At 44.1% G+C, this 26,651-nt stretch overlaps 1 protein-coding gene across 1 annotated transcript in view, besides 2 other annotated features; it reads left to right on the forward strand.

The window, feature by feature from the left end:
* LRMDA (leucine rich melanocyte differentiation associated) overlaps positions 1–26,651 on the forward strand; it is a 1,128,545-nt gene that overhangs the window by 36,846 nt on the left and 1,065,048 nt on the right. The window lies entirely within an intron of this gene.
* Positions 6,344–7,092: an enhancer, noted in NCBI's record as "OCT4-NANOG-H3K27ac hESC enhancer chr10:77234571-77235319 (GRCh37/hg19 assembly coordinates)". NCBI's record gives its function as "activates a minimal SCP1, AML or CMV promoter by ChIP-STARR-seq in naive H9 embryonic stem cells {active_cell/tissue: H9 hESC(naive)}" and the evidence as "EXISTENCE:reporter gene assay evidence [ECO:0000049][PMID:30033119]".
* Positions 7,093–7,840: an enhancer, noted in NCBI's record as "OCT4-NANOG-H3K27ac hESC enhancer chr10:77235320-77236067 (GRCh37/hg19 assembly coordinates)". NCBI's record gives its function as "activates a minimal SCP1, AML or CMV promoter by ChIP-STARR-seq in naive H9 embryonic stem cells {active_cell/tissue: H9 hESC(naive)}" and the evidence as "EXISTENCE:reporter gene assay evidence [ECO:0000049][PMID:30033119]".

Consider the following 26,651-nt stretch of genomic DNA (forward strand, 5'->3'; position numbering starts at 1 on the left):
CTTAAGAGATACCCAGGGTGATGAAACAAACACCTCAGCAGTAGACTCCCCTTTGCTGTGGCCCCAGTGCTCATGGGTTAGAGGTGGTTTGGAATTTTCTTTTGCTCTTAAGGTTCTGCACCTGAAGTGATGCTAGTCACTTTTTGGTCCAATAAACTTGGAATAAAAGGAAACTTTTTTTTTCTCCAGAGTAGGTTTTCACAGGTCTTTGCGGGGGGCTGTCGGGCACAGGATTTGGGAAGGGTCAGGGTGGGAAGAGAATGCCAAGCCCTGCTGGGGGTGGAGTGGGGAGATAGGGGCCTGTCTGCATTACTAGTCCATGGCGGCCGTCCAGCCTGTGGCCTCTCTTGCACAAAGGCTTCGTTCTGATTAATGGCACTCATGTCTTGGAGGCATGGATTGTATTAGACCTTGTTTAAAAGTGCTCGCTATACATTCACTTCCCCTGGAAGTGCACCAAACTAGGACGAGAGGAAAAAAGGGAGCAAGAGAAAGGCCCTGCATTTGGAAAGAGTAGACAGAAAAGCTTTTTTTCATAAATGCTTTCTGTAACTTTCTGTGCTCTTCAAGGCATTATCTCTGCAGAGCTCCTATGGGAGAGCATGGGGAAAAAGTGAAGACAGACGTCTTGGGAAAGAAAATGGGTTTCCCTGCCAAAACTGGGAGATGGTGCTGGCTCTCTTGGCTTTTTAGAAACTCCAAGAAATCTGCTGACATTTTAAAGGAAAAAAAAAGAGAGAGATGATTTATGATGACATCACATGTTGCCCAAGCAGATCCTGTGAGAGGAAAATGGCTTTTATAGAGAGCATGTTGCAATAAAGAAACAGTGAGTCACTGGGGGAGCATCACCAATTGAAATGCCTTCAGTTATTTGCCCTAACTGGCCCCCAGTGCAACCAAAGACATTGGCAGCTTCTGGGGCCTTGCTCTAAAGAGATTCAGCTCTAAAGAGAGCTGAACCTAGAGCGTGTGCTGCTTTCTGTTTCCACATCTCCCTTTCCTTCCCAACCCCTTTCTGATGACTGATTTCATCCTGCATTTGTTTTTAGCTTCCTGTCAGCTAAGGTGGGTGTGCAAGTGTTGCACTGGCTGCCCATGTGTGTGAGTGTATGTGCGTGTGTGTGTGTGTGTGTTTGTTGAAGGGTGTGCCACCCCATGTATCAAGTGGTGGGCAGTGGAAGAGGATGGTAGCATGAGGGGAGCCAGAGACTTCCTTGCTTTCCTTGGAGTTGCAGAACAATGCTAGACTTTTGCAGAGGGGTGAGTGTTTCTGCCGTGCTTGGAAGAACCTGGAGACTGGTATGGGATGAGGGATCCAGTGTGAGGCCTATGGGTGCACACGGCCTTCTGGGCCTAGGAACCATAGTAACTGTGCTTTAAGCTTCAAACAAGGTGCAGAGCTTGGTGTTGGTCTCCATGGACTTCTCTCCTCTTGGTTGTCTATTGTGTGTGGTGGCTCACCACCTGCAGGGCACTAACCCTGAATCAGCAATAGGAAGGAGTCTAAGAACTAGTCTTTGGTGGCCCCACACTTCTGGTTCTTGGATGCACCTCTCCCCTTTAATAATACTTTTCCCTCTTTTCCTCAAGACTCTACTACCTTCCTGCATTTCCTCTGCCACCATCAACATGGTTTGAGGACCAGGTCAGAAACCCTTTTGTATTAGGGTTGAGTTGCCAGAATAAGTTCTGCCTACGTTGCATTTATTTGCATTTCAGTGAAGATCAAAACATAAAGGTGAGGCTGAGTGTGGTGGCTCACACCTGTAATCCCAGCACTTTGGGAGGCCGAGGCAGGCAGATCACTTGAGGACAGGAATTTGAGACCAGCCTGGGCAACATGGCAAAATCTCGTCTCTACTAAAAACACAAAAATTAGCTGGGTGTGGTGGCAGGTGCCTGTAATTCCAGCTACTGGAGAGGCTGATGCATGAGAATCACTTGAACCCAGGAGGTGGAGGTTGCAGTGAGCTGAGATTGCACCACTGCACTCCAGCCTGGGAGACACAGCGAGACTCAGTCTCAAGAAAACAAAGACCCGTAAAGCCGAAGGACGGAAATGCGTTTGAAGGCATTTCAGCCATCAGGAAGAGGGGTCTAGGGTATCCTTCTGAGATGTGGGCTGGGCCAGTGGTGGTATGGAGCAGGTAGTTGGTTGTGCTGGCTGTGGCGTGGATGATGCTTGTCCTTCCCAGTGCCAGAGCTCACTTCTCTGCAGGGCAGGTCCCTCCTTGTAGGTGCCCTCAGTCTGAGCAGCCCCACTCATTGTCCGTTGGAACAGTCACGTCCCAGGGTACATAAGGTTGTGGGGTCCTCTCCGAGGAGAAGGGCCGCTTACTTCCTAGGTGATGGTGAAGATGTCTGCAGGTGTCAGCACTGGTGACTTAGGCCAGCCCTGCCCTGCTTTCCCATACCTGAAGGATTCATTCCAGATTGGGAAGTCTTTGAAGCTTTGGGTCTTCCCTGTTGAATCCGCAGCCCTGGCCCAGCACATGTGCTTGGTGCAGAGCTGCTGCTGACCTCCCTCATGGGTGGGTTGGTTTGTGAGCTCAGAGCTTGCTTCTGGGCTCTCTGCCTTGAGCAAAGAAGCCAGATTCCAGAGAGGAGAAGGAATGATTACAGTCACGTTCTTGGTGTCTTCTAGGGACAGACGTTTTCTAACTGCCTTTTTAACAACCATATGTAGTGGTAGTAATAAACCACTTATAATTTCATCACCTTAATTCAGCTTTTTTTCTGGCGGGGGGGTGGGGTGTGAGTGGGGTGTGGTTCTGGTAAGCAAAACACAGCTCCTGCCTTCAGGAAGTTCATCTGTGTTTAAAAAGCTTACCTTTTTTTTTTTCTGTTGAAAACCATAATTCTACCCAAAGAGCCGTGTCTCACCCTGCATACATTGTAGGAGTTGGGGGAGTTGAACTTCAGCTTCAAACCAGGCATTTAAAACTTTTAGCAACCCTAAGGGATTGTTTCTGCGATCTCCCTCTGATCTTCAGGGAAATGGAGGCAAAACCTGCCTAAGGACCTACAGCTCCTAAGTAGTGGAGTCCCAGTATTAGACCTGGGTTCTGTCTGTTCCGAGCCTGTGCTCCCTCTGCCAAACCAATCCCTTGATAATGCTACATACGTTGTTTTGAGTTCTGTTGTTTTTCACTTAATGTATCAAAAGCATTTCACTGTGTTTCTATAATATTCATGATAATCTTTTTAAATGACTACATGATTTTTTACCTCATGCTGACGTACTTTAATGTAAACCAGTCCCTGAAAAGTTGAATGTTTATTTCTAATTTCTTTGATGTTGGAAATCGAGTGGTGAGTTCTGAAACTCCCTCTTGTCCCCTAAAAGGAGCAGCTGGCCTGGTGCAGATGTAGCCTTTTGAGGGTCTCCATGTTTGGGGAATGTGTCTCCCTGTGTCAGGGAAGGCTCATAGAAGGAGAGCTTGGATTCTTATCCTTGACCCTCTGGCTTCTGGTTCAAGACATACTTCTTTGCTGGGCCCTTCAGAAACCCCTCATCTTCCCCTCTTCCTCAGGGAGAGCCAAAATCATCTGCCAGGTCTCTTTTTACCCACCAGTTTGATCGTCTTACTCCCTAGTCCCAAATCCATTCTCTATGCTTAAAATCCTTCCTGCCTTCCCTCTTCCAAGTCTTCTCTACCCACTTCTGTCCAGCTTTTAAATCAGCTCAACATCTATAGCCTCCAGTCCCTCTGCCAATGTTGATTTCTCCTTGCCCCAAACTCCCTGAAACTCCACCCTTTTCAACTTGACACCAAATTGCAGACTGTCATATGAATTCCTGTCTCCCCAAAACCAGGTAATGAAGGAGGCAGAAGGGCCTACCATTTATGCGCCCATTATGTACCAGGCACTGTCCAGCTCTTGTCTCATTTAATCCTCGTAACGACCCATTTGAGGTGGGATTCATTATCCCCTGCTTACAAGAAGAGGGGTTAAGTTGTTTGCTCAAAGTTACCCAAGCCCAGGCAAGAGGAAATGAGTGTCATGTAAGTGGCAGAACTCCCAAATGGCAGGGACAATTTCTTTAACTTCTTATCCATTCCCTTTTATGATCAGTGTGCAGGGCAAATAGAGAGCACATAGTAGCTGCTCATTCAATGGTTATTGAGTTGCGTTATTGGACAGTTTCCTTTATGGGGATGAAAATTCCTCCTGTGCACTGCTGAATCAGGACAGAAAAATCTAGTCCATCATGTATATGGTGTATGCTTTTCATTTCAAAGAGTGATCTCTGCAGTTTGGCAAGGGTCAGGTATTGACAAGAGATGGAGAGGAGGGGAAACATCTTGAAGCTGCCTTTTGCCCTGAGCTAGAGCAAAGCCCTACATCTGTTCTTTGTCTTTGTTCTTCAGTTTCCCTCTCTTGCTGAGGTCCTAACAGGAAGCAGGAGGGTGGGCGTGGCCAGATCTTAGAATTGAATGATCTGGGCTTAGGCATTCAGGGTTCAGAGGGCTTTGGCATGAGAAGGAGATTGGCATGATCTGCCGTGTTGGTCACCTTTAGCTTTGAGTGTCAGATCAGGTTTACCTAGCATGGGGTTTGGTCTGTGCAACAGTTCTAGAGGTTTGCATCTCTTCTTCCCCCATGATGGACCAGGAGAGAGAGCTGTTTTGACACCAGATTGTTTGGGAAGCTTTGGGAAGCTATGGAGTTCTTTCCTTTTGCTATGACCTAGTTCTGGGCTAGTGATATGAGATTGGATGTAAATCAAAGTGGGGCCCAATCAAAGGTGTATACCAAAGTGGGGGGAAACCTGGAGCTTTACTGCAGAGGCCAGCATAACATGTCATAACAGAGTCAAGGATGAAAGCTCCAGAGGTGGTAAGGGCTGTGTGGTGGGAGCAGGGGGCGGTGCTGAAGAGCTAAAGGAATATAGAGATGGGTACTCTACAGAGATGACAGTAAGTGTTACTCAAAATAAGTGTGTCTGGAGGTGATGCGTTTCCGAAGTTCAGTGATTTCTCTACATCAGGATCTCCCAGAGCCTTGCATGCCAGTCTTGCGGTGCAATCTCCCAGCAGTGGCTCAGCAGCCTGCATTTGGAGGTGGAGTTGGTGCATCTGCAGAAAGTGCACTTAGGAATGTGGGCTCCAAAGGCAGACTGCTCAGGTTCAAATCTCAGCTCCATGGATGTTTGTTACCATGATGCTGGGTGAACTCCTTAACATTTCTGTGGCTCAGTTTCCTCATCTGTGGCATGCTGGTTGTGAGGATTAAATGAGGTGATGCTTGTAGGCTGCCTGTGTAGTGTCTGACTTATGGAAACTGCTCAGTAAGTGTTAGTGGCTGCTCTTGTTTGTGTCATCATGATCATGGTCATCATCTCACCAGGGACCAAGGTGACTTTGCCCTAGAGCAGTGGTTCTCAGTCTGTGCCCCATCCCTGGCATCAACATCACCCAAGGGTTTGTTGGAAATAAAACATCTTAGGCTCTATCCTATTGAGTATCAAGTTTGGTAGGTCTGGGGTGAGGTCCAAGAGTTTGCATTTCTAACAACTTCCCAGGTGATGCTGATACGCCTGGTTTGTGGACCACGTGAGACAACATCTCCTTGCATTGCGTTCCAAGTAATATCATCTAGAACATGCAGTTGCATACACTGTTCCTCCCACTCCACTATTATCTCTTCTAATGGTTAGATGATTTCTTAGCCAGAATTCTTCTGAAATCAAGGATTCCTGTGATTAATGCAGGAATACCTGGTATCAGGATGAACTGTCACAAAGAAGTAAGGCAGTGAGTGTTTCCTGCTCTTTAAACCAGCCTTGTTTGTGTATGTGTCTCAGTTGGGCTGCTATAACAAAATACCATGGACTGGCTGGCTTATGAACAGCAGAAACTTATTTCTCACAGTGCTGAAGGCTGGGAAGTCCAAGATCAAGGGACTGGCAGATTCAGTGTCTGGTTTCTCATAGATGGCTGTCTTCTCACTTTAGCATGGCAGAAGGGGCAAGGGGTCTGTTTGTGGATCCATTCATGAGACTCTGCCCCTATGACCTCATCATCTCCCAAAGGCTCTGCCTCCTGATACCATCATCTCGAGGGTGAGGATTCAACATGTGAATTTCAGGGAAGGTGGGACGCAAACATCTAGACCCTAGCAGTACAGGTTAGACTTGCTACTACAACAGACCCTCTGTCAGGTGACTTTGGTACAAGGCAGTTTGCTTTATATCTGGGAGGGTAGTCAGAGTGGGATGTATCCTGAACCCCTCATTGTAATACCAGTGCAGTTTGTATTGTGTCCTATTTCTTGGGGGCTGGCCCCTTCAGTGGGTTGTAAGACGTGTGTGCATGTGAGTGTGTGACACAGTACTTGATGAATTTGAGAAATGTGGCCTTGAGGTGTGACCCTGAAGACCCCTGCTAGTGTCATTTCCTACGGGAAATTGTCCCTAACACTTGGCGCTGGTCTCTTTAAAGGTGTGTATCTCACTGCAGGGCCGGTGTTGCTGTATTTCACTGTCTGCCCACCATACTCTGTGTTCATTGAAGGTGGAAACTAGTTATCCATAGCCCAGCACCTGCACATAGTCATGTTCAAATGTTTCTCTTGAGAAACACTTAGTCTCCTCTGAGGACATAAGCATAAGAGCCCCATGCTGTTGCTGGGGTCCTGGGAGAGCACTGGAGATGAGCATCTGATGGGGCCTGATGCTGCACCCCTGGTTGGGCACATGTGGAATTCTGAAGACCCAGGAGGCCATAGTGCTTCAGTTTTCTCCCTCTGGTCCCAGTTGCTTCCTTTCTGGGTTTCCTGGGGAGATGGTCCTCCTGTGAGGCCTCTTGGGAGGCTGTCCCTGGAGATTAGCATGGGTGTTGGGTGGCTAGAGCCCATGCCTTATGGACGGGGAGGACCCAGGAGCCTGGGTGAGGAAGGAGTCGTGCAGGAGTCAGGGGCTGTTTTGGGGGTAAGCCTGTCCTCCTCCCTGCTCCAATTTTCCTAACCAGTGTGTTGATTTCAAGAACCTGGGACTGCTTCCGAGAGATAATTGGATCACTGAGTCCTGCTCATTAGTCAAGTAAAGTAGTCTTTGCTAAAGAAACCGGTGAAGGGCTGATCGTTGAAGCCCATTGTTTCAGGTAATTCATGGTTTGGTATCTAGGCTCCTTTGAAGTAAAAAGACTCCAAAATATAAACCTTTCTCCTATAATAGAATCCTCTCGTGTTATTTAAATCCCAGGGTTTTACATTACAATAGTCACCCATCAGGCTTGGAGAGAAATGGAACTTTCTCTGACAATACATTATGTGGTGTTCTTGCTGGCTTAAAATTAAACCTAATCAGGAGGTGTCACTGAAGTTTGTGCTGAGTAAATGATGGAGCATGAAATAAAATGATTTATACCACTTTTCCCCCCAATAGGCAGTGATTTTTAATGTTTTTCTCCTTCCGAAAGAAGGCGTGGGTGTTGAAAGTGATTTTTGATTGTTTTTCTTAAGTGGTCCAAGACCACAACATTCTAAGAGCCGCCCTCCCTTCTTTCCCACATGGTTGACTCTTGCTTGAACTTTCACAATTTGCAAACATTAGAATGTTCTGACAGCTTCACTGGAGATTCTCTAATCTGACCCATCAGAATGGAAATTGGAGGCCAAGCCTTTCAGGAGTTGCTGGAATCTGCACTTAAAGTGGTGTGATCCAAGTCTTGTTCTCACTGGGTTTCTCTTTCAAGACAATTGCACTAGGGTTAAGTTGATTGGTTTTATGGCATCATGTAAAGTTAATTTTTTAAAAAATCATTGCTTGTGAACTTGGGGCCCTAAATAGAAATATTTTGCACATGTGTGGCCCCAAGCTCTGTGAGGGAGTGTAGTAACATCAGTTCTCCAGAGGACGTGAGGCAGGGGTGGATGCTGCCCTGCCCTCCTACCCCAACTGTTTGCAGACTCAGCCCATCTAATTCCTCCTTAAATTTGTTCTTGTCTCCTTTATCTCAGTTAGTGGTGCAGCCATCCTCCTGACGCCCTAGGTTCACCTCTGAGTTCATGTTCTCACACCCTTAAGGATCGCCATGTCTGCCCCTATCTCCTACACCTTGCCAACAAAGCAGGAATTGCCTAGAGTCACGGTCTGATCCAAGTTGCTTCCCTGCTCAAAACTGGTGTCTGTAGAATCTAGGCCAACCTTGGAGCCAGCAGATGACTTTTCTAGCTCAGCTTCCTCTTTACCTGAGCTCCAGCCACATGAACTGACTCAGTGTGTCTTGTGTTTTCCCAGCTCTTGGTGTTTGTTTATGCTGGACCCCTTGTATTAGTTTTCTAGGGCTGCTGTAACAAAATACCACAGACTTGGTGGCTTAAACAACATAAATTTATTTTCTCACAGTTCTGTAGGCTCAAAGTCCAAGATGAAAGTGTCAGGAGAATTGATTTCTTCTGAGGCCTCTCTCCTTGGCTTGCAGAAGGCTGTGTTCTCACTGTGTCTCTATATGGCCTTCCCTCTGTGTGTCTATCTGTGTCCTGATCACCTCCTCCTCCTCTTCTTTTCTCTCTCTCTTTTTTTTTTTTGGAGGCATGATCTCCTTCTATCTCTCAGGCTGGAGTACAGTGGCGCCAACACAGCTCACTGCTGCCTTGAACTCTTGGGCCCCAGTGATTCTCCCACCTCAGCTTCCCAAGTAGATAGGACTACAGGTGTATACCATCACCTAGCTAATTTTTTTAGAGATGGGGTCTTGCTATGTTGCCCAGGTTGGTCTTGAGCTCCTGGCCTCAAGCAGTCCTCTCGCCTCGGCCTCCCAAAGCACTAATCTCTTCTTCTTGTGAAGACACCAGTCATGTTGGATTAGGGCCCACCCTAATAACCTCATTTTAACTTAGTTATCTCTTTAAAGACCCTGTCTCCCATTCTGAGAATCTGGGTTAGAACTGCAACATACAAATTTCTTTTGGGGGATGGGTACAATTCAGCCCGTAATACCCTTGCCCTAGGAAAGCCCTTATTTCTACCTTTGCCTGTCAAACTCCTACATGTTCCAGGCTCACTCTGAATCAAACACCTACATGTTCAAGGCTCACTCTGAATGTCACGTTTCCATGAACTTCTCCTTAACTCTGTGCATGGTTGCTTAGCTGCCTTTTATGTTCTGGGAGGCCCCCATGACAGCCAAGTCCCCAGGCGCAACTGCTGTGATGAAGGCTGGATTTTTGCTTCCACCTCTTGGGGACACAAGGCTTGTATAGCCCCTGGGGCCCACGAGGCTTGTATGGCTTCTGGGGCCCTGCTGTTCCCACCACAAGCAGTCCCCTTGGGCTAAGCATCACTCAGGGTATACCATGTGTGGCCATCTGTATAATTCATGAGGGAGGACTGTGTCACCCAGGCACTGCTGCTCATTTGCAAGAATTATGGGCTTTGACAGAACTCCCTGTCATGCAGGCCTCCTTGTCATATCTGTGGTAATTACTATTCCTCTTCTAATTACTTATCTTATCCACATGGCCCCTTTCAGCTGCAGCACAGGAGACTCCTGTCCTCTTCTGCAGAGGCAGCTGTGTCACTGCCACTGCTTCCGTGGCCCCCGAGGCACAGCCTCTGCTGAGGCCTCCTTTCTGGATTCTGAGCCGTGCCTCATTTAGACCATTGCTCTGAAGGACCACAGGCCTGGGAGGAGGCCTTTAAGCCTGTGTGCAGCTGATCACCAGCTCCAAGCTACCAGCATTCACCTTGGGAGGAGGCAGCTCTCCCCCAAGATTACAACTTGCTCCAAGTCAGGTGGAGAAAAATAGCAAAGAGAACATCATATTTAAGAGTTTGAATGTGCTGAGTGGATGCTTTGGAAACCTAACCTCAGGCAAAAGGTCCTTGGTTCAGGCTTGGTGACTGATGTTGCATTGTCTGCTGTTAATAGCCTAGAGATTGAAGACCCAAGTAGGCCATATTTTTGCCTGTCAACAGCGAATCTCCAATCTTTTAACTTCTTTAGTTTCAATATTTGATTTTGCTTGGGTTCACCTCTACAGTTGCTTTGCCTTGTCCCTGGTCACCTTACTATATTTGACTGAATTAAGCTTTCTGTTTCAATGTAAGTACTTAGTATTTTGCATTTAAAAGGCTGTTCTTTAATAACTTTGGAGGAAGTTGACTGATTTTAATGAAATTCTGTCCATTATAAAAGGCATTCACATACACCTCAGGTTTAATTTAAATGCAGTCTGTCCCCTTGAAATGAAATGGCAATGGGCAAAAGTCTCCAAAAAGACCATTTTTTTCAATAATACATAAGGATTTCCGTGGAAATTGGTGCATTTTTACAAGGTATGGAGATATTGTCCCACCTGTGTGAACCTGCCTAAAAGAGTATCTCTGTGTAACAGTGATGGTGAGTTAGAAATGGAGCTCTCTTGTCTCAATGCCTGACTTCAGTCTGATCTTTGCACTACTCCTTGACTGCTGACCTCACTCCCCGCCCTGCCATGTACATCCTCTGTGTACCCTGGGAACTTGTATGTAGTTAATTGTATCTGGACCTGCACCCCCAGCTTCTTTCTTGGCTTCATTTAATCTCTCTCTTGGCTTCCTTGCCTTCAGGGATCTCCTTCAAGGCAGGGCCATTTCTGGTTTCCTCCAGCTCCCAGGGCTCCTTCCTGCAACAGAAAATGTTCCTGCCTTCACAGAGCTTACATTTTAGTAAGTGGATTGGGAGGTTGCGGCCAAGTGTATAGTGAGGTGACGCTTAGGGAAAGCTTAGGCTGCTCTGAGAACACCTGAAAAGTACACCCAACCGGCTTGGTGTGGTGGCTCACACCTGTAATCCCAGCACTTTGGGAGGCCGAGGCGGGTGGATCACGAGGTCAGGAGATTGAGACCATCCTACATAACACGGTGAAACCCCGCCTGTACTAAAAATACAAAAAATTAGCCGGGCGTGGTCACAGGCGCCTGTAGTCCCAGCTACTTGGGAGGCTGAGGCAGGATAATGGCATGAACCTGGGAGGCAGAGCTTGCAGTGAGCTGAGATCGCACCACTGTACTCCAGCCTGGGCAACAGAGTGAGACTCTGTCTAAAAAAAAAAAAAAAAAAGTACACGCAACCTTGGGAGGAAGGAAGGGCATCAGGAAGAGGCATCCTGAAGGAGCCACTCATTCATTCATTCATTCATTTACTCACTCACTTTATAGAGCCATTGTGCATGTACTGAGTAGTCACTGGGAAACAGCAGTGAAAAAGCAGGCAGCATCTCTGTCCTCATAAAGCTTGTATTTTAGTGAGGAGAGTTGGCCAAGTAAGGTGGCCTTGGGAGCTGAAGAGTGTTTCAGGCAGAGGGAACACAACAGACGATGTCCAGATCTCAGGCAGAACGAGTGTATTCAAGGGACACAAACATGTACTGGGTAGTCACTGGGAAACAGCAGTGAAAAAGCAGGCAGCATCTCTGTCCTCATAAAGCTTGTATTTTAGTGAGGAGAATTGGCCAAGTAAGGTGGCCTTGGGAGCTGAAGAGTGTTTCAGGCAGAGGGAACACAACAGACGATGTCCAGATCTCAGGCAGAACGAGTGTATTCAAGGGACACAAACATGTACTGGGTAGTCACTGGGAAACAGCAGTGAAAAAGCAGGCAGCATCTCTGTCCTCATAAAGCTTGTATTTTAGTGAGGAGAGTTGGCCAAGTAAGGTGGCCTTGGGAGCTGAAGAGTGTTTCAGGCAGAGGGAACACAACAGACGATGTCCAGATCTCAGGCAGAATGAGTGTATTCAAGGGACACAAACATGTACTGGGTAGTCACTGGGAAACAGCAGTGAAAAAGCAGGCAGCATCTCTGTCCTCATAAAGCTTGTATTTTAGTGAGGAGAGTTGGCCAAGTAAGGTGGCCTTGGGAGCTGAAGAGTGTTTCAGGCAGAGGGAACACAACAGACGATGTCCAGATCTCAGGCAGAACGAGTGTATTCAAGGGACACAAACAGGTACTGGGTAGTCACTGGGAAACAGCAGTGAAAAAGCAGGCGGCATGTCTGTCCTCATAAAGCTTGTATTTTAGTGAGGAGAGTTGGCCAAGTAAGGTGGCCTTGGGAGCTGAAGAGTGATTCAGGCAGAGGGAACACAACAGACAATGAACAAGTGTATTCAAGGGACACAAACAGGGAAGGCAGAGGCCAGATCACAAAGGGACTTGTAAACCATTTGTTAAGGCATCTGGACTTTATTCATAGGCTAAGGGCTTGCCATTTTCAAGGGTTTTAGGAGAGTGGCACAGTCATGTTTGTACTTTAGAAAGATCACTGTGGTTGTTGTGGAGAGAATGGGCTGCGGGTGCAGGTTAGCAGATGAGTTAGGAGGTTGTAGAGTCTTCCAAGACAAGGCAGAGGCCTGCATTGGAGCAGTGGAGTGTGGAAGGAGAGTAGATGAACCTGAGGGGATTTTAGAGGTGGTTTTGATGGTATTTGTGTTGAGTGGATGTGGAGGGGTGAGGCATGGGAGGAGTCACAGCTGACTCTTGGGTTTTTTGTTGGAACAACTGCATCAAAGATGGAGGCCATCTGTGTGAAGGGGAAGCTGGGGAGGAACAGGGTTTTCAGGATGGAGGGGATGAGGGGCAGATGAATTGCATTTAGGACTCATCGGGTTTGAGGTGCCTTTGGGCCATCCATGTGGAAATGTCCAGGACACAGTAGATATATAGCTCTAGGGTTGAGAGTGAAGTCTCAGAAGGAATCAGAATAATGAGGTTTTGAGGGCATGGGAGTGGAGAGTGGATGAATTTGCTTGGGGTTGGGTGGGGCAGTTTAGCGTGAGAAGAGATTATAGGGTGAATGTGAGGATTGAAGGAATGAACTGAGGATGAGCAACTGGAGAGTAGAGGGAAACCAGCAGATTTGTGCTTTGCCAGAGGCTGGGGAAAGAGCAATTTAAAGAGGAGGAAGTGTTCATTAAGGTCACATGCTGCAAAGAGGAAAAACAGGATGAGCTCTTGGAATAGCCATCAGATTTAGCGGTAGGGAGGTAGGTAGTGACCTTGGGAAGAAAGATTTGATAGAATGGTGGGCTTTTCTGTCCACATAATGTCCTCTAAACACTTTTAGTTCTCTTCATCTTCATCAACAACCATGTTAGTCCAAGCCATCGTCATCTGTCACCTGGACTTTTGCAGTAACCTCTTAAGAGGTCCACTCACGCATCCTCTATTCCTCAGAGAGAGATCTTTTGGAGAGGCAAATCTGATTATGCGATTTTCTTGCTCGGCATCTTTTAATGGTTTTATGCTGTTAGGATGAAGGCAAACTCTTTGACATGGTTCTGCTTCCTTATCTCTCTTCATCTTGTACCACATTCTCCCTCTCTCTGCCCAGCCACACCATTCTTTCTTAAATGCCTTGAGCTGGTCATGTCTCCTTTTCCCATGGGGACTTATGCACATGCTGTTCTCTTTGCTTGGAAGTCTCTTACCCCCACCTTTCCACCTGCTTCATTCCTACTTGTCTTTCAGATTTCAGTTTCAGCTACACTTTCTTAGGGAAGTCTTTTCTGACCTTCCTCACATGACCAAATCTCTCCGTTAGGTGTTCTCATAACATCACGCACCTCTCTTTTATGGCTGTGGCAGATTCTGTTATGTTCCTAGTTATTCTCCCTCCCTGTATCTGTGCCCTTTGCCATGTGGCTTTGTAGTGCCTCCCTCAGAGTGTATACTCCTGACCACTGATGTTAGGCATGGTCACGGAACTTGCTCAGGCCAGGGAAGCATAGGTGGAGGGAAGAGCATACCAGTTCTGAGCTAGACCTTAGAATTGCATCTTCTGTTTGGCCTTCTTGAGCTTCTGCCATTGCCTGCTCTGAGACTGGACCTCACCATGAACTCACGTGGAGCAGACCTAAGCCTGCCCTGCAGTCTGCAACCTGGGTTTCACCTAGCCTAGCCAAGTTGTAGCCGATTTGCAGATATAGGAGAATAAATGATTGTTATTTTAAACCACTGAATTTTGGTGTAGCTTGTTAGGCAGAATCATCTTGGCAGTAGATGGCTGATTCAATAGCCACTATAGTTGCAGTTTTATATATATTGATGTTATTTATGTCTGTCTTCTCAACTAAATTTTAAGTTCTGTGAAGGTACGCCCAGGTCTGTTACTGTGCGCGTATTTCCTGGCTTCCTGCACAGGGTCTGACCCATGGTAGATGTGCAGCACATAATTGTTAAGTGACTGAGTAGAGTCTGTGTCAGCTCAACTATGTCCCTATCGTAGGAGTTTACTGGTTCTGGCGAAATCAGCCCACTGCCAGGGGTATAAGGATACATTTTAAGTTCAATTATAATACTTCACTGACCTGAAACAAATATGATAGCTTTTTAGAAATGCATGTTTTCTGTAATTTACAAAAGAAATTTTGATAAAATGTTGTTTGCAATAGAGTGGTGTGAATCATGGGGAAAACATATTCCATTTGCAATCTCGAAGCAAAAATATGTTAATCACATTTTCAGCTTAGTTAACCTTTCCTTTCCTTTCCTTCTTTTTTTTTTTGAGACAGAGTCTCACTCTGTAGCCCAAGCTGGAGTGCAGTGGCACCATCTCAGCTTACTGCAACCATCACCTCCCAGGCTCAAGTGATTCTTGTGCCTCAGCCTCCTGAGTAGCTGGGACTGTAGGTGTGCACCACCACACCTGGCTAATTTTTTATTTTAGTTAGTAGAGATGGGGTTTTACCACGTTACCCAGGCTGGTCTTGAACTCCTGAGCTCAGGCAATCCACCCGCCTCAGCCTCCTAAAGTGCTGGAATTATAGGTGTGAGCCACCACACCCCACCCATCATTTCTTTATATAGATTGCTGTGTATGACATTCATCATTTTCCCCATGAACAAATAGGTACATTTTCATAGATAATTTCTACATTAGAAACAGAGATCAAGCCTTTAAGATCTGCTGTTGGTTTAGGAGTTAATTTTGGCTGAGTTGACAAAAATACCCATAGAATTTAATATCTCTGTCTTGAGAGGGAAAAGATATCTTGTTATAGGGAAGTAATATAGGGCTTGGAGTCAAAGGACACATATTTACTAGCTCTGTGACCATGAAAAGTGATTTGACCTTCTTGACCTTTATTTTCTGCACCAATAAAACAGGATTAATACCTACTTCATAGCATTGTGAAACGTGCTTTGCAAAAATAAAAGGGCTTGTAAGTCCTAGTTAATTGAATGAAATGGAATGAATGAAAATCAAATAAAGAGTAAAACTTGGATTTTTAAATTACTAATTTTATAATAAGCCACCTTACTACTGTCTCTTCTCTAAAAGTTTTTCAATTCTCCTGGGATTTGGGAGCGTATAATTGTATCATATGAAAAAAATCATTTTGCTTCTTTCTAATTTTTATGCTTCTCATTTTTTTTCCTTCTGTAATTGCATTGGCTAGTATGGAGAGGTTTTTTTTTTTTAATGATTTTTCAGGTAGTATTACTTTAACTTCAGGGCTTTTTTGGCATTTATGGACATGACCATGTGGTCCTCCCCACTGCCACCCTTTTTTCTGAGACAGGATCTCACTTTGTCACCCAAGCTGGAGTACAGTGGCTTGACCATGGCTCGCTGCAACCTCTGCTTCATGGGCTTAAGCAATCCTCCCACTTCAGCCTCCCAAGTAGCTGGGACTACAGGCATGGGCCACCACACCTGGCTAATTTTTGTATTTTTTGTAGAGATGAGATTTTGCTGTGTTGCCCAGGCTAGTCTCAAACTCCTGGGCTCAAGCAGTCTTCCCATCTTGGCCTCTCAAAGTGCTGGGATTACAGACATGTGCTACTGCACCTGGCCCTTCCCAGATTTTCTAACCTACTAATATGATAAACAATATTAGATTTCTTAATATTGAGGTACTTATAAATCCTCTTAAAAACCCCCCCTTAGTAGTGATATCACTACTTAGCTGTGAAAAGAGGGTTTTAAAATTTCTATGAAGTGTGATATAATATTTAATATATTTAATGGTTATCTAGGTTCTATTTGCTAAAATTTTAAGATTTTTGCATTGGTTTTCATAAGAGCAATTGGCAGGAGTTTTCTTTTACTGTGCTGCATTTTTCAGGATTTGTTCTGTGTTTATTATGGACTGAATTGTTTCTCACCCAAAATCCATTTGTTGAAGCCCTAATTGCCAATGTGACTATATTTGGAGATGAGGCCTTTAGGAAGGTAATTAAGGTTAAATGAGGTCACAAGGGTGGGGCCTTAATCCAATAGGACTAGTGTCCTTATGAGAAGAGGAAGAGACACCAGAGAGCTCTGTCTCTCCTCATATGCACAGAGAAGAGGCTGTGTGAGACACAGCAAGAAGGTGGCCGTCTACAATCCAGGAAAAGAGGCCTCACTGGAAGCCAACCCTGATGGCACCTTGATCTTGGAACTCTAGCCTCTAGAATTGTGAGAAAATAAGTTTCTCTTGTGTAAGCAACCTAGTCTGTGATCTTTTGTTATGGCAGCCAGAGCAGACTAATACAATGTTATACTTACATTTGTAAGTATAGAAAGGTAAAACTATTTAAAATATTTTCCTATGTTCTAGAACAAACAGTTCAGATAGAATTTGTTATCCATTCTTTGAAGGAATAGGTAAAACTTACCTGTAAAATACTTGGGGCCAGGCATTTGTTAGTTATCTCTGTTAACTTTATCAATATCTGCTATAGCACTTGGTTTATTTAAACTTTTAGTATTTTCTGGACTTAGTTTTGATGATTTATATTTTGCTGGATAACATCCAGTTTATCCAGGTTTTCAAATATATTGCAATAAAGTTGAGAAAAAACATCTTTTTGATGTCTTTTAATTTATTCTGTATCTGGGGTTCTATATACAGTCACATCCTTATTTTGACTATACTTTCTGCTCTTTTCCTTGATTTTTGGTTTAGTAGTTGATTATTATTTTAATGATGCCTGGATTTATTTTTAGCACTATTTTCTTTTTCTTTTTTGAGACAGAGTCTTACTCTGTCACCCAGGCTAGAGTGCAGTGACGTGATCTCAGCTTACTGCAACCTCCACCTTCAGAGCTTAAGTGATTCTTGTTCCTCAGCCTCCTGAGCAGCTGGCACTACAGGTGTGTGCCACCATGCCCAGCTAATTTTGTGTGTGTGTGTGTATATATATATACATATTTTGAGATGGAGTCTCACTCTGTTGCCCAGGCTGGAGTGCAGCGATCTCAGTGCACCGCAACCTCCGCCTCCCGGGTTCAAGCGATTCTCCTGCCTGAGCCTCCTGAGTAGCTGGGATTACAGGCATGTGCCACCATGCCTAGCTAATTTTTGTATGTTTAGTGGAGACAGTGTTTTGCTGAGTTGGCTAAGCCGGTCTCAAACACCTGACCTCAAGTGATCTGCCTGCCTTGGCATCCCAAAGTGCTGGGGTTACAGATGTGAGCCACTGTGCCCAGCTGCTATTTTATAATTTCTTATTAATTATTGTTTTTATCTCTACCAATTCTTTGCTTTCCTTGTTTATTTTTATTTTTTGATTTTGAGCTGCTCACTTCATTTAAGCATTTTAACTCTTTCTTGCTTAGAACTGTGCGTATTTAAAGCTGTGAGTTTTCCTCTGAGTACTGCTTTGTGTCTTATGGGTTCTAATACACAGTGTTTGCATTTTTTGTGTTCTAGGTATTTTGGGATTTTGATTTTAATTTTCTCTTTGCATAAAAGTTGTTGAAGAGAGTGTTTTCAAATTTCTGTGAAATGTGATCAGAGAATGTGATCTATATATACATTATTTCTACTTATTGGAATTTAGGTATTTTTTATTACTTAGTAGATGGTCAAGTTTTATAAATAGGCACTTAAAAAATTGTATCTTTATTTTCACACTATAGCATTCAAAATCTATCAGATATCCTGATGAATTGATATTACACTTCTTGTAGTTCTTGTTTTTGATCCGCTTGACTTAACATGGCCCAGTGCTTACAGAGGCATTGTTATTCATTATTATGCTAAGAACTCCAGATTCTATATAGAGGACGTAAATTTCACCTTGAATGTATTAAGGAGACAATTTGATCTTGCTCCACAAAATGCTGGTAGTGCATAGGAGTTGACTGAGAGAGCATTTTGAGGTGGGATGAGGAAGGAAAGCTTTATGCAGGAGATGAGTCTTGAAGAGCAAGTAGATGTTAGGAGCTAGAGAATTTGTAAAGGGGCATTCTGGTCTGGGGGGGGCAACATGAGCAAAGTTGGGCCTAGGGTGAGTCTGGCATGCTGGGGAGAAGGCACACACCCTCCTCCTTGGGCTTTCTCTCTATGATGGCTGTAGCAGTTGAGTCAGGGTCCCATGGGGCCAGTTGTCTCCATTCAGTTGACTCTGCATAAGCATCTTTGTTGGGACCATCCCAGCCATCTCATCAGACTACTTTGCAGCAGTGGAGGATAGCACGTGATAATTTGTTCTTCAGGCCACCCTGCTGGTGTGCTCTCAGCTTTGCACTTTTACTGGAGAGCTGAAATTGGCACGCACCTCAGTTTGATAGCATTAGCTCAGTTTTTGAACATTAATCAGGGAGACGAAGGGATTTCAACAGAAGAATTACAGTGTCTGATATGTACTTGCTATATGGAGTTGTTTTGTCAGATGACCCCAGTAAATTACCAAATATTTAACACTGTTGATAAATCAAATGATGTGTGGTTGGTAGGAAGTGAAGGTATTTAAATAATTAAGCAGTTCTTTCTCGAGCCTCTTTATATGATGATTTTCTAGACTTCAAATCAGTTTTCCTCATCCAGCCTCCATATAATATATAGTTATTTCAAATCAGCTTTACTTACTGAGCTTTTTCTAGTAATTGAGCTTTGTCAGCAAAAACTGTATGTACCAGCAAATGGTGAATGATGGGCTCATGTCAGAAAGGAGCTTGAGAGGTGCTTTCTGTTGTTAGATGGATGGGTCTGGAGCCAGGACTTGAAGCTCTCTGAGTGTAATAGTTTCAGAGAAAAGGTATGTCTGAAATAGGGGTGAGTGCTCCATCACTCAAAAGCTGGTATTTCACACACCCAAGCCAAATGCTACATGTGCTGATGAAATCATGGTTTCGTGTTTGGGATGTGTGGGAGGTGTGGGAGGTTTTTAAGTACAATCTTGGTCACAGTTTCTCCTCCCACCCCTCCTTCCTATTCTCTTACAGCTAGGACCCAGCGTTCTGGGCAGAATAGCAGGCAGCGCAGTAGCTACTGAGATTATAAGTGGTAGGTTTATGGAGCTGTGACCACAACTCTCCACAAGCCAGTGCTGTCTCATGCAAGCACTCTCAGTGTCCAAGTGCTGAGTGTGTGAGTGGTCTGGGCTTTGCAGGGTCGGCCAAGCTCTTGGAAGAGCAGGCTTTGTTAGCTGGGGAGTCATCGCTCCATGCAGGCCCTGAGAATGGAGCATCCTGAGTGGACTGGTAGAGATGGGGCATGGGTCACTCTGAGGGTTTGAGCTACTTCTGCTATTTTTGAAATTCTGGTTTGAACTGCAGGATTGTGCTGAGTTTGGCACAGACTAATTTCTCTGTTGGCAGCACATGATGTATCAACTCATGTGTCAGTTGGTTTGATGCCACTCTGGACCTTGAGAGTTCCAAAGGGCTATTGAGGGAGAAACCTGACTTATGGCATAAAATGGGGTACTGAATTTGGGAGGCTGAGGATGCTAAATGGTGTATGCCCTGCCTCTGTTTTATTGCTGAATTGTGTCTCTCAGTGGAGGTTCTTAGAGGCTTTTCAACAAAACCTATGCTGTCAGCTAAAAGGCTTTTAGGACTTCATAATCATGGCACAGTATCTTTTCCTTTTTCTTAAAAAAAAGAACTTTTCCTTTCTTTTCCCCACCTTTTTGAAATCGTTAGCCTTCATGTGAACTGAAAGGGACTTCAAAACATTGGAAGAAAATAGTCTGAAAGCTCAGAGTGTGCTTGGCTCCTGGTAGGTATGAAGGCTTGATAAAGAGGCATCTTTTGCACTGACAGGTGTTTGTGTGCCAGTGTGGTGAGGGCTTTTGATGACAAAGCCACTTAGTTTTCTCTAGCTTACCCTTCCCTTTGTGCAGAGGAGTTAGGAAAACTCTAATAAAGTAACTAAATAATAAGGATAAAAAGTTAGCATTGTTGTTTTTTTCTTCATGTCCTCTTTTGTGCCCATCGGATTTTTGAGACTCACTTTTCAGGCCCTAAGTAAGCAAGAGGCAGAGGTGAGGAGGGGAGTGTCTGTCACTGTCCCTATGGTTCTGGAATATGCTGCTCTTCAAAGGTCTAGCATCAGCAGCAACATCCTTCTTGAAGCCAAAGGAAAATTTAGATGAGTGGCAGCGCTGTGGCTGAGGGTGGGTATGGAAAGGAGAGGCACTGGGTGGGGATGCTAAAATACTGCCTTCCTGTTCCCCAGAAGCGCAGTCACTTATGTTCCCCTTTATGGCCAAGAGCCCCCTTAACCCTCAGCATACAGTTTTCTTTCCCTTCGTGGGAACCAACTGAAATTGGCAAACTGTGACCGTTTGTGACGAGTTATCTCAGTCCTCACATGAGTTCTTACATGAGTCCCTCTATGACCTTGTGCACCTTTCCCAGAAAGATAAATTACATAGGTTACAACCAAAGGAGCATGTAATGCCTACTTGTTATTTCATGTGCCTTGTAAGAACCAGAGAGGGACCTCCTTGCTGAACCGCCTCGACCATGGAGTAAAGAGTTAGGACATCTCACTGTACAGCAGTCACCCCATTGTGGGCAAAACTATGTCAACCCCCTTGGATTTTTAGTAAAAAAAAAAAAAAAAAAAAATTTCACTAGCTGAGGATGACAATAAAATGGAGTGTTGCTGAATATTGTTCTAAGGAAACTAAAGGGGGTAGCTGAAAAATTCTTGGACTGGTCTCTGTGACTTGGTGTCCAGAAATGTTCATCTCATTATTTCATATGAAGAACAAAATTGGGCCAAGCCCAGATTTTGCTAACAACCTCCCACAGCTTTCAGCTGTATGTGAAAGTTAGTCCTTTGGATTTCAACTTGTTTATTTGGGATTCTCAAACATTAAGACTTGTGTGAGAGGAAGTTGGGCCCTGTATGTGAGCCATACTTTTTAATGGCTGGCAAGTAGGATTGTACGATGTCGGAGTTTGAAGTAGGCTCTGACCTCATGAGCTCTTACCTTCTTATATTTCAGAGGAGGAAAATAAGTCTTCCAACTTTTACTCCTTGGTTCCTCTCCCCAAGCCTTGTTATCACCAGGAAGTGTTAGATTGTTTGGGGTTTGTAGTTTGTGCTTGAGGGGGCTTGAGTGCTAGAACTATTCCATTGAAAATGGTCCTTGTTGGGGAAAAACAAGGATTGGACTTAAGATAAATGCTACGAGCTTATTTGATGAGGGTAGTATAATAATGTTCCATGGATGAATGTCATGGGTAATAAGAATAATGGCAATATTTATTATCTTTTACTATGTATCAGGTACTGGCGCTCAATAGTTCATATGTGTTCTCATTTAACTCTTAGAACAACCCAATGGGATATTGATAGAGGCAGTAGTGGTGGTGGTAATGGTAAGTAATAATGATTATAGCAGTTACTGTGCCTGCTTTATGTGGTTCATGTCATTTGTGTCTTACAATAATCCTATGTGTAAGGCACTGTTTATTATCTTTCCTACTCTCTAAATGGAAGACATAGAGGCTCCGAGATGTTATGTAACTTGCCCAAGGAGCTGGAATGTGAGCCAGTCGTCTGGTTTCAAAGTCTACTCCTATCAACCTTTCTGAACACATATAATTAACTAAATAGAGGTGTTCCCTGATGGGCACTTAATAAAAATTAGTGATGATGAGAAGTATTTTGGCCAAGAATATGTATGTGCATATATGACATGTACACATACACACACACACACACACACACACACACACACACACACAGAGTCAACTTCTGATTTTCTGCTTTGGGGCTAACCCTCTAATTGTGAATTCTAGAATGTCAGCTTCTTTTTCACTCAGCGTGTTTTCACCCTTGCCTAGCTGTTGGGGTCAAGGAATAGAAACTCATTTAACCTAATTCTAAGCAGAATATCTTTAGGAAGATTGTAATAATCACACAGTCATAGAATATTAGAATTGAACAAACATATGGAGACATGAAAGTCAACCATTTCATTTTAGAGAGGAGACTCAGGCCCTCCAGAGAGGCATTGATTATCCCAAGGCCTCTAGTTGATTAGTTCAGGGATTGCAACTAGATTTTGGGATATCTGCCTGCTGATCCAATGTTTTTCCATCTATGTGACCCTACCACTCAATGGCCTAGACTCTGAAACCAAGAAGAAATTGTGTTTTGTCTGTTTTGAATTATGGGTATCACTAATACGCCTCTGCTGATGTGGCTAATGTGTTGTTGACTGTTATGCTGTTTTTAGGTTCTTGTGGGTTTAGGTCACACTGGCAATGGAATCAACCTCTCCTCTCCCATCTGATTCCTTGTATCAGGAGTACAATAATAATTTTTTCCCCTAACACAGAGAATATTTTTTGTGGGTCTAGTGGACGAAGATAGTTAAGGAATTAAATTGACCACCACTCCCACATACCCCATACCATCAGGAAGGAAGGAGAGGCAGCATTATTAATGGAAATGCATTTTCTTTGAAGCTTGAATTTATTTTTTAAAAGAATATTCTTTCCTGACTTGGAAGAATTATTATTTGGTTGTAGGCATTTTATTATGTAGCTTCGTGTCATTATTGCATTGAGTGTGTTGCTATAGCTCCCACCAACTGTTTTAAGATGTTTTGAGACTGTGCTTTATATTATAAGGAAAGTATTTGTCACTCGGACTCTCAGAATTGAATTTGCCTGAATTAATTATGATTTGCACTCCATCCCCCTGGGCGGTATTGTGGGGGAGAGGTAATCCTTTCTGATGTCGTATAGAAAATCAATTCTGGCCTGCGGCACTGGCTAGTTGCTTGAGTGGGGGAACTTGTCACCCACTGTATGGTCTTTATTTCCCATTTTTCTTGGCCCTTTGTTATGTATTACTTTCTCTGGGCTGGTTTAAGAAGCCGCCAGGGCCAGGGAGCAGTGCTTGGAGTGATGGACAAGGATACTCTCCCATAAAGAAAATCACAAGGGCCCCAAGTTGGGTAATAAAAGGCCTTGTCAGTGGCTTTTCTTGTGTAGTCAGCATTGTTTATAGAGTGTTTTCCACTGAGAAACATAGACACTTTCTCTTTCGCCTAGGGGATAAGACAAGTTGAATGGCACTTGGTCAGATGTAGGGATTTGGTCTTGACTGGTTTGAGAATGTGCTGTCTTCTCCTCTGTCTTCTCTGAGGCCTCCCTTTGTTCCTTGGAATATGTTCCTCTTTCTTAATTTCAAGATGGGAAACTCCTTCATCTTATAAAACTCCGTGAGCAAATGTAAGAGGCAAAACAATTGATAAATATTTGTAACAACTATGACAAGCATAGGGTTGATATCCTTACTATATAAACAGCTGTTACAAAAAATAACCACCATGGAAAGGGCTATGGTCAAGTTTTAAATGCCTTGGGAACAGTGCCCTCAAGATAAAGCTGAGCAAAATAGCAGGACACAGAACTGAGCAGATGTAGATGTTAATGTAGATACACTCAGAGAAAGGGCTGAAATGTCCCCTTTTTCTTACATCCGTCAGGAGAGCCTACGAGTAATTTCTGCCTTGGCATGTGACCATGGTGCCTTGGCTTTGCCATTCCAGCCAACTGACCCTTTTGCTGAAAGTTTAATAGGGGATGAATTCACATGTGAATTCATAATCCCCTTATCTGTGCTAAGAGCATTCTGTAATGAGCCTGCAACAGAAAGAATCTTACATCTTGCGGTTTTGCTCTGACCCCACCTCTTGGCCTCCTTCCTAACCTCTCTATACCTCCTGGTTTGACGCTTTAGGTATCTGCCCCTTGTGGAGTCATTGCCTGCCTGCAGTATGTTAAATGAAGTTTTAAATAAATTGATTCACATTTCCTGCTAGTCGTCACATTGAGGCATTTAAGGAAGTATGGCATATGTGAGTGGGGAATATATTTTTGCTTATGAGAAGAGGAAAGAAAGACTTGTTCTCCTCTAGAATTTATTAATTTTGAGCCTTATTCTCTTTTATGTAGTGTGACTTTGACTATAAATCCACAAGCAAAGTCACAGTCAAACCACAGTTTAAGTTTTGAAGATTTATTGTTAAAATTTGCTCTCCCCCTAATGCTTTTATTATTTTCTCTTCTGTTCCCTGCCCATGGTGTGGGTTACAGTTAATGTTATCTACATATGTCTATAAATACCAAAAATATTTTTGATACAATGTGCATTTAATCAACTTTTTGTTACTGTTATACCATTTGTGTGGAGGAAAATTGTTTCTGTCTTAATGTTCTATTGAAGTGCCTTTGGAGTGATGATATCATAATCACTTTAATACATTTAAAAGCTTCAAGGCTTAGCATTTATTGAACAAAGCTCATTGAAGGAATATAACGGATGTCTTGAGGCTTTCCGCTGCTGTAAAAGGGACAGTATTGTTCATGGCCTCGGTAAAAGAAAATCTGAATTTTTATTTTACTTTGCACTGCATTGCAATTATATTTTAAAAGCTCTTCAAGCACAACTAACAAAGGGGCTGTTTTTATGAATTGTTATATTTGCATATCTCGGGGCTGACTGCTGTGAGTTTAAGATTAATAATGGACAGCAATTTAAAACTTTATCACCAAAATCCAACCTCGAGATCCTAAAATATGGCTTTCCCTTCCTGGATATCCTTGGAGAACAAGTTTTCCTAGGTTGGGAAGTGAGCGGAATTCTTACAAGTTTTGGCTCTTTGGGATCTCCGTGAAGAGAGAGCCATAGAGGGTTGAGATTGGGTGTGTGTGTGTGTGTGTGTGTGTGTGTGTGTGTGTGTGTGAAGTCCATGAAATCAGAGTGGGAAAATGGCATATGGGAAGCCGAGGGAGCCCCCACAGTCCTTGTGGGTTGAAGGTATGTTCTCTCAATCCCTGGACTGACACACAGGATGGGCCACCACGCTCTGAAGCTACCCTTCTGAAGAGTGCTAGGGAGAAGCTGTGACTGTTGGAGGTGTAATGGAAGATACCCCGTCATTCTCTTGGTTGAGATGGTTAAGTCACATCCTTAAAATTTGGCACCTCCTGGAACACTGGCCTCATCTTCCCTGCTGTTGGGTAACTGCTGACTGTGGCCTTGGAATTACATGTGTGGTGAGACATCCCCATGGGTGCAGGCTTGGTCTTGGAAATTATTTCAAGGAAGCTTTCTTTATCCCACTCAGTCATAACTCCGGGGAGAAGAGTGCCTGGAAAGACTAGTCACAGTTTCCTATTTCTTATTCCCCATCATCTAATTAGGTAGCTCCTGGTCTTGACTCTCCGTGACTGACTTGTCTGAAATTTACGTGTGTGTGTGTGTGTGTGTGTAAATTATTATTATTTTTTAGAGACAGGGTCTCACTGTATTGCCCAGGCTGGTCTCAAACTCCTGGGCTCAAGTGATCCTCCCACCTTGGCCTCCTGAAGTGTTGGGATTACAGGCGTCAGCCACCACGCCCAGCCAAATTTACTTGTTTAAAGCATCAATTCTCTCTCTAAATTTTCCTTAAGTGAAAATAGGCATTGTAAAGTTCATATGCTATGAAGTGGGGCTGCTGAGGCCTAATTAATGATGAATCCATGTTTCTTTCCGCCTAATGCTCTGAACAGGTGAATTTGCTTGAAATGATGGCTTTGATTTAGTAGCCTGAAAATAGTGGTCTTTTACTTCTTGTCTTTAGAGATATGGTGGCTGTTACCTTTGGTAATCAATCCTTTCTAATCTGGGTAGTTGGGGCTAGTTAGAGACCAGAGCTGTGATTAGGGTGTGGTGGTTTCCACTAGCGGTTGTTGAAACAACTTCCTAAAGAGATGTTATTTATGTATTCACCCATCCACTTCTCTGTATCAGTTAGAATTAGGTTCAATTGCATAGGATAGATAACTCCAGTTACCAGCCGCTAAAACAAGGTTTATGTTTGTTCCTTTTTTTTTTTTTTTTTTTTTTGTTGCCCAGGCTGGAGTACAGTGGTGTGATCTCACTCACTGCAAACTCCGCCTCCTGGGTTCAAGAGATTCTCATGCCTCAGCCTCTGGAGTAGATGGGATTACAGGTGTGTGTCACCACACCGGGCTAATTTTTGTATTTTTAGTAGAGATGGGGTTTCGCCATGTTGGCCAGGCTGGTCTTGAACTTCTGGCCTCAAGTGATCCACCCACCTTGGCCTCCCAGAGTGCTAGGATTACAGGCGTGAGCCACCGTGCCTGGCCTGTTTGTTTCTTTCTCATGTAAAAGAGGCCTAGAGGCTGACAGCCTAGGGCTGATAGGCTCCTTCCAGCTTTCTACTCTGCTGTCTCTAGGGTATGGGATCTTGAACTAATCATGGTCCAGGATGGCAACTAGAAGTCCAGCCATCATGTCCACATTCCAGGCTGGCAGCAGGAAGAAAGGCAGAAAGAAGGACATTTGCTCTTGCCTTTTAAGGAGTCTTTTTAGAAATCTTATGTAGCCGTCCAGATGTAAGGCCACACCTAGCTGCAAAGGAGGCAGAGAATTGCAGTCTTTTACCTGGGTGGCAATGTGCCCTGCT

This window comes from Homo sapiens, chromosome 10 (genome assembly GCF_000001405.40).
Source record: "Homo sapiens chromosome 10, GRCh38.p14 Primary Assembly".
Taxonomy (NCBI): Eukaryota; Metazoa; Chordata; class Mammalia; order Primates; family Hominidae; genus Homo; species Homo sapiens.